This window comes from Homo sapiens, chromosome 3, assembly GCF_000001405.40.
Source record: "Homo sapiens chromosome 3, GRCh38.p14 Primary Assembly".
NCBI lineage: Eukaryota > Metazoa > Chordata > Mammalia > Primates > Hominidae > Homo > Homo sapiens.
Genome location: NC_000003.12, coordinates 180,322,088 through 180,329,930, shown reverse-complemented (window position 1 = coordinate 180,329,930; position 7,843 = coordinate 180,322,088). Strand labels below are relative to the sequence as shown.

Genomic DNA, 7,843 nt, shown 5'->3' with positions numbered 1-7,843 from the left:
ATTTTAAGTTTCTAGAGTACACAGATAATATAGGTGCTCAATACATGTTTCTTGATTTAATTCGAAGATCTAAGGGACCTTGGGAAAATACTCGAAAAATTAGTCTCTATGATATCCCATCTCTACTAAAGGACCTTTAAGAATCTGTAAAGACAGGTCAAATACAATTGTAAAAGATAATTTAAATTTCCTGTTGGTGGGTATTCATTATTTCCAGTTTCATTTTATGAGATTTTATAATAGTACAAAAATAACACTAGGCTTAAAGAGAAAGAAAGATAAAGAATGTCATATATCATTGAAAGAGAATTAAATTGTAATAAAAGTTCTTGAGTACAATTTGAAATACATTTTAAGAGAACGATTAAAAAATTTGCTGATCTTTTAATAGGTTTTAATTTTTTTATTCCTAATCTACTGTTGTAAATAGTACTAGGAAAATCTTAGGTACTTCCCTATATTACTAATACCACCTATATTCGTCAAGTTTCAGTTTGAAAAATAGATATGAATAAGTATGTCCACTGGGGTCTCATAGTGAATGATTCTCAGAAGTTTGTCCAGAGGCCTCTGCTAGCTTCCTGCATCTGCTCATGCTGCCACTAGAGACTACTGGCTTCTTCCCTTTCACCTTCCAAATAAGCCGTAGTGCTTCTCTTCATCAGAATTTTACTCAGATGGTTCAGGATTCTGGGAAACACAGTTCTGACTTTTCTGACTTTTTACTGTGATGTAGAGGCAGTGTGGAGAGGGGCTGGCAACAATGCCCAGTAGACCACAGATCACCTTGCACACTGTCTATTCATCATTCAAATGTTTTTGAAAGTAGTTGTAATACACAATTTTTATGTAAATATTTATCTGTTTGCCTCAAAGATACAATAAGCATCCTCTTCAGATAGAAAACAGGCACTTTTAGATACAGATTCAAGGAAATTCAAAATGACTTTGTCTCACAGTTGGGAGTAGCACTCTGGGGAAATATAACACTTTTTTTTTTTCTTTCTTTCCTTATCATCAAAGTCAGTGCTGACACTATGGAACACCTTCGCAGAGCACTCTTTGCTTTTTGCTTCATGCTCTGAGAGTTTCATGAACTATGGTGAACTATGTTTTATTATGTTTTGTTGTCACAAACAAGACTGCAGGACCATAATGTAAGGGCCAACTTTTTTACCTTTTCTTTGTTAGGAAAAAGTTTAAGAATGAGAGATGTAAATAGGCACTTACTTCAATTAGCAATGCCATTGTTGAGTCAAGGATGTTTAGAAAACAAAATTTATGGTTCATCTGTGAACTTTTTTTAACAGCATACTTATTATCATGGATATAATTATTTTTCGCTTTTAGAACTCTTTTAATATGCCAGGAAAATGTAATTTGTGTGTAATTTTAAAAATGATGCTCTGTATCGGGTATTAATATCCTTACTTTATAGATAAGGAAAATTGAGGTTAACATCACAGACAATAAGCGACATATCCTGGAAAAAAACCTACAGGGCTCCTGCTTTTAACCAACTGCATGAGCGTTTATAGTTAAGAGGAAATGTACAGAGAACTAGCCTAAACTGCATTTTTAATTTCAGTAAACTAAAAGCTAAAGAGCCAAAGTATCGTGCCTTTGGTTATACCGCTAACAGGAGAGTTGGAGGTATGACCCAGGTACAACAGCCAGGCTAGGATAAGCCAGGCTGCAGTAACAAACAGCCTGACATCTCGGTGGCTTTAATACAACAAAGGTTTGTTTGTTTCTTTATGAAGTCTAGTAGGGGTCAGGCAGTCCTACCCTATGGAACATGGGTATTTATTCTCCACCTGCTTTAAACTGCCTCAGATGGAAGTGATGCATTAGCTTCTACTGGAAAGAATTAACCAAATGATCTTGGGTGGGCACAGTGGCTCACACCTGTAATCCCAGCACTTTGGGAGGCTGAGGTGGGTGGATCACCTGAGGTCAGGAGTTCAAGATCAGCCTGGCCAACATGGTGAAACCCTGTCTCTACAAAAATTAGTGGGCATGGTGGCACACACCTGTAATCCCAGCTACTTTGGGAGGCTGAGGCATGAGAATTGCTTGAACCTGGGAGATGGAGGTTGCTGTGAGCCGAGACTGCACCATTGCACTCCAGCCTGGACGACAGAGTGAGACTCCATCTCAAAAAAAAAAAAATTCTTAACTATCAGGACAGCAGGGAAAATGTGGTCTTCTTCCTACAGATGTGAACACACAACATCGTCCCTGCCATAGCAGGAGTCCTGACACTGAGTCCCATGCTTGTATCATGACACTAGTCTGCTCTTCACTCCAGACGCTCTTCAGCTTTGATACTGGTTTGATAGTCAAGGTGTATTGTATATTTATATCTACAAAACTGCTCATTCTGGGTTTCTTCTTACTTTAAAAATATTAATTGGCTGCTTAAAATGGGAGTGAGTTTTTTGTTTTACACATTTCCACTTGACACAAAACAGATGCAACATTCAACCTAATAAGTTAATTTATTCAAAATAGTTGGGGGACTCATCAGGCCTCAGAAACAGCTGAGGTTTCAAATTTATTTTTTCTAGTTTCACAGTGCAAATGGGCATTGTACATATTTCATATCCCCACTTTCTCTTCAAAAATGTCACTCTATAGCTCTAGCTGCACAATCTTAGATGAAATATCTATGAAAATATGTCACTGTAACACAGATGAGAATTTGGCCAAGAATTGATATTCTTTATGTTACTCTGCAGAGAAAAACTATAACAAAAGTTGAACAATGTATTTAGTATATGACGTATGATGAATAGAAGACACATAATAATGCAAATAACTCATATATTGCATAACTAAAAATAACTAAAAATAAAAATTAACTCAAATATATATTGCATAATAACTAAAAATAAAAATAAAAAATCAGTGTCAGCCATGCTCTACACTGATACCCAAGGATCATAAAATATGGTTGGACAGTTAAATATCATGACACAATGGAGGCATTAAAGGGGTTAAGTCAGCAGGCTTGTGGTACTCCAACCCTTCACATTTTAAAGAAAACACTGTCCCTCAACTGGTTCCTGGAAGATAAACTCTGAGGCTTTGGACTATCTTGTCTGATAAGAGTGTCTTTATATACAGGAGACCTTGAACCACGCCAGAGAGTTTATGCTAACAATGAGATTTGTGATGAATATCTGTTTTTTTTTTTCTTTTTCTTTTTCCCAAGTGGCTGTTGAATTTATTTGCTTGATCAATAATGGTCCTGCCAAAAATTAGTTAACCAATGCTGAGACATTTGTAATGAAATACTAATTTTAAAAATCCATGACACCTTGATAGAAATTAGAGTTTATACAAACAAAAAAGGAACCTTCAATATTGCCAGCAGCTATAAAGTGAATGTACTGAGACTGACAGGGCAGCAAGAAGGCATTTGCACATTTATATCTGACACCTGACCATACTTTCAGTCACCAGAATATCTTCTCTCCAGATTTAAAAAAAAATGGTATGCTGATTTCTATAACAAAGATTTTTTTCGTAAAAAAATCAAACAATGGCCAGTGAGTCACAACAGTACAATAGGTAGAGGTTTAAAAACTACATCAAACAGGTGCTGAAAATAAATACTACCTAAGAGGAGGAGGAGAGGGCCTTCCTATGGGGTTTGTTTTCGTCCTCTTAAGTGCGTGTGGGGTTTGTCTTCCAAGCCATGAGCCTGGCCTGTCTTGCAGTGCTCTTCACTCAACAGGGTGTGACTGCAGCATGTTGCCTCCAGGGTCTGGCTTCTCAGAAGCCTCAAAGCATCCATCTCATCAGATGGACCAGAAACAAGAAAGTGGGGTGGGGTGAGTCACAGCTATCACTCAAACGAAAGAAAATTTTTTTTATTGCTCAGTCTTGTCAATTGGGAGTCCACCAGCAGATTCACTGAGACAATATGGGTAATTTCATACTTTTGTTTAAAAGCATATATATGGCTTATTCAGGCAAGGACACGTGTACATTCTAGCCCAAGCAAGCAATCGGAGTCATTCTGTTTTTAAGGAAGGCCAGTTGTTTAAAAGATTTCTAGTTTGAGCAACATCCTCTGTGGATGCACCAGGCCAAGGTGACTACCTCTGCCAACCCAGTGAGAAGGCCTTTGCTGGTCCCCGCGGTGAGGAACTGGTGGGAAGAGGCGGCCTCCTCCCTGCCGGCCTGCACTGCCCGGGGTGGGTGGACAGGCTCCACAGGCAGCCTCTGTCTGTGGCCAGACTAGGCCATCCTGGTGACTAGGGCTTATCAACTGTGGTTTAGAACTGCAGAAGGAGAGAGTTAGGAGGGTGGGCCAGGGAACACACACCAGGCGCCACTCTGGCCAGAGAACATGAGGCAGCTCCCCCACAGGGATCTGCACCAAGAAGGTGTGGAAGGCACAAGCAAGTGTGAAGGTACCAGAGATCCCAGAGGGTGCAGCTCACAGCGGCCACAGCAGGTGCAGCGCTGACCTGGTGTGGTTCCCCCCTTGAATGAGAAAGAGATCCTGATTCTGCTGTGATAAAAAAGCAAAGCAAGACGATTTATGGTTTAAAAAGAAGCCACTCGAGGGTTAAAATAGTTATTTTAAGTTAACAAAGAAAATTAATCTTTAAATAAGGTGACACTATCTGGAAAACTCATCTGTCCCTAAAGCCCACAATGCATCCACTGCTTCGTTCTCTTAATGGAACCTGAGCCTGACGCAAAGGAGTCAGACGGGTGACAGAGGAAGAGTCTGAGAAGAGAAGACACCTTTACAGAATGTACAGCAAGAAAGCCGGCCTGGCCCCCTGGTTACAGTAAGATGCACAGGTCCTTTCAGTCTCGCGGACTCCAGACGGCCGCGCGGGCTGCTCAGATGGACGTCTCCTTCCTGTCCCTGCTGGGTGATGGCTTCACCGGCTCTTTGCCTGCCTTTGGCTGCTCTTTAGCTTCTTTTGGCCTGAGGACACAGTCTCTGGGCGACTGGACGGCACCACCGCGCCACTCAGGCTCCTGGTCCTCCTGCACCTGCTGCTCAGCCTTGGTTCCCTCCATCTGGAGCAGCCGGAACTGTACGCGCAGCTCGATGATGACCTCGCGCTCCTCTTGAACTGCTTGATTCAAATGATTGCTCTTTATTTCCAGCTCTTCGTTCTGTCTCTGTAAATATTCCAGAATAATCTGCAGCTCCTCCTCATCCTCACTCTCGCTCTCGGAGGAGTACTCCTCAGTCTCACTTCGGCCGTGCTGCTGGTGACTCTGAATTTCAGCAATCTCGGCTCTGAGGCATCCCATCTCTTCTTTTTCTGAGGAAGTCTGCCGGCATAGAAACTGCTCCATGGTCAGGAGCTCCTCCTATTCAGTCAGGATCTCATTCTCCCAAGCAAGGAGAATATTTATAACTTCTTCATTTTCATTCATCTCTTCTTTGGAAACATCCTCTTTTAAAAGACTGGCTATCTTTTGTGTAATCTTGGTTTCACACTCCTGTCTTTAAGCGTCTCTCAGTTTTCTTTTGAGGGCTGTCAAAATTCTTTGGACTTTCCATAATCTTTCTTCTTTAGATAAATCCTTTATCCCACACTGCAGATATCGATGTAAACAATTCAAAAGAAAACCCTGTCTCCTGATCTCCTCCTTGATACCTGCCTGGGTCTCTGGCAGCGTGGGCATCGTGGCCATGTTAGACCATCGCAGAGGTTTCGTCGCTTGCTTTAGTACAACATTTCCAAAGAGTTCTTGCGCATGTGTGAAAAACACATACAGGACTCAATTGCTGATCTGCACAGTTGGGTTGAGCACTATAGAAATGTTCTGTTTATTCATTTTTGTTTCCAGTTCATTTGCAATGACATGGTCCATGTGCACAATGAGCCAAGAAATCAGAAGATAGTTACATTCTGGCAGTTCTTTGAGTAAACGCTGGAATTCCTGCACTTTCTCAGTCTCCGTGGTCCTCCCACAAGCTTCTTCAAATCTCGGCATAAGCTCTTTGGTAACCAAATTCTCTGGAAGGTCTCACAAATACTGCTTCAGCAAACTGGCTACAGTGTTAAGCTCATATTCTTCCAAGTTGGTAGACTCCTTCCGGTCATAGGCTGCTTTTAGCTCATCCACCTTTGATTCAATTCCTGATACTCTGTAGATGCCTTCGCATCATGCCATACTTCTCTAAGTGATCTATACATTCACAGAAAATGGCCGGCAGCCGAATGCCATCATACATCATGGTCCTCTCTACTGCATCAGCCAAAGGAATTCCAAAAATGGGTTTGAGATTTGGAACATCAATCTGAGGCACCTCTGGCTCCTGAATTGGTTTTTCTTTTTCTTCTTTTCCTTCCACTGTTTAACAACATCAGCTTCTGTCAGGTCTTTTGACTTCTTCTCTTTATGTTTTTCTTCTTTGTGCTTTTCTTCTTTATGCTTTTCTTCTTTGGGTTTCTGTTTTATTTTAAAATCCTTCTCTTTCTTTTTAGAAAAGCTGGGCTTCTTGAAAACATGGATTCCCTTGAGCCTCTTCATTTTGGAAGGACTTTCTGCCTCATCTCCAGAGCTATATTCCTGAAAGGCTGCATAGCCGTCAGTCCTCTTTTCCTTTTTCTTAAATTTTCCTTTTTTCTTCCCATGGTCTTTCTCATCATCAGGCACTATATCAGGAGGCTTATGGAGGATGCCATGGGGACGTGAGGGCTGGCCAGTGCGGTACAGTCCAGGAAACTTAGTAGGACTGATCTCTTCAGAGCTGGGGGTCTGGGTAAGCCCGCTGCCATGCTCCATCCTGCGGTGTTCACTGGCGCTGCTGGTGGGGGCAGGAAGCATTCAGTCTTGCTAATGCCCTGACTAGGAAGGGAGGAGGTCTTCTCTGTTACCTCTCCATTACACCTGTGCCTGCCACCATGCAACCGACTGCCCCGCTGCCACGGCTGCCGCCTCCTGGCACTCAGGCTGCTGCTGCTGCAGCCACTGTAGCTGCCTCCTGCGCTGTGCCCCAGGCCGGCCTCCAGCACCCCATTCCCACCCCGCCCAGCCTCCGCCTGTTTACAATGATTGGGATGGAACGGGCTTTTTTTTTTTTTTTCCCTCCTTTGACCCTGGGGCCCACTGTTTATCAGTTTGACCTCTGGAAGTGGGGAGAAAATTGGAGACTGAATACCTAGGGTGAGTCAGGTGGGTATGGAGTGCAGCACCTACATGATTGACTCTAGCTATTCAGTCATGTAGGTGCATGTAGGGACTCCATACCTCAGTGACTGACCACACCAAAAAATCCCTTTGATACTGTGATGGTGAATACTGAGTGTCAACTTGATCCCACTGAAGGATACAAAGTATTGATCCTGGGTGTGTCTGTGAGGGTGTTGCCTAAGGAGCTTAACATTTGAGTCAGTGGGCTGGGAAAGGCAGACCCACCTTTAATCTGTGTGGGCACAATCTAATCAGCTGCCAGCGAGGCTAGAATATAAGCAGGCAGAGGCTGGGCACGGTGGCTCACACCTGTAATCCCAGCACTTTGGGAGGCAGAGGCAGGCACCCACGAGGTCAGGAGATCAAGACCATCCTGGCCAACATAGTGAAAGCCCGTGTTTACTAAAAATACAAAAATTAGCTGGGCATGGCAGTACACTCCTGTAGTCCCAGCTACTTGGGAGGCTGAGGCAGGAGAATTGCTTGAACCCGGGAGGCAGAGGTTGCAGTGAGCCGACATCACACCACTGCAGTCCACAGTCCAGCTTGGGCAACAGAGCGAGACTCTGTGTCTCAAAAAAAAAGAAAGAAAGAAAAAAAAAATATATAAGCAGGCAGAAAAATGTGAAAAGAAAGACTGGCCTAGCCTCCCACCCTACAT

The 7,843-nt window shown here is 42.8% G+C and overlaps 1 pseudogene, besides 1 other annotated feature; it reads right to left on the bottom strand.

Moving 5' to 3' along the window:
• Nucleotides 606-665: an enhancer, noted in NCBI's record as "active region_20874". NCBI's record gives its function as "activates an Ori minimal core promoter by ATAC-STARR-seq in GM12878 lymphoblastoid cells {active_cell/tissue: GM12878}" and the evidence as "EXISTENCE:reporter gene assay evidence [ECO:0000049][PMID:35858748]".
• RALBP1P1 (RALBP1 pseudogene 1) lies at nucleotides 4,670-7,015 on the bottom strand (annotated as a pseudogene).
• Between the last annotated feature and the right edge of the window lie 828 nt (nucleotides 7,016-7,843).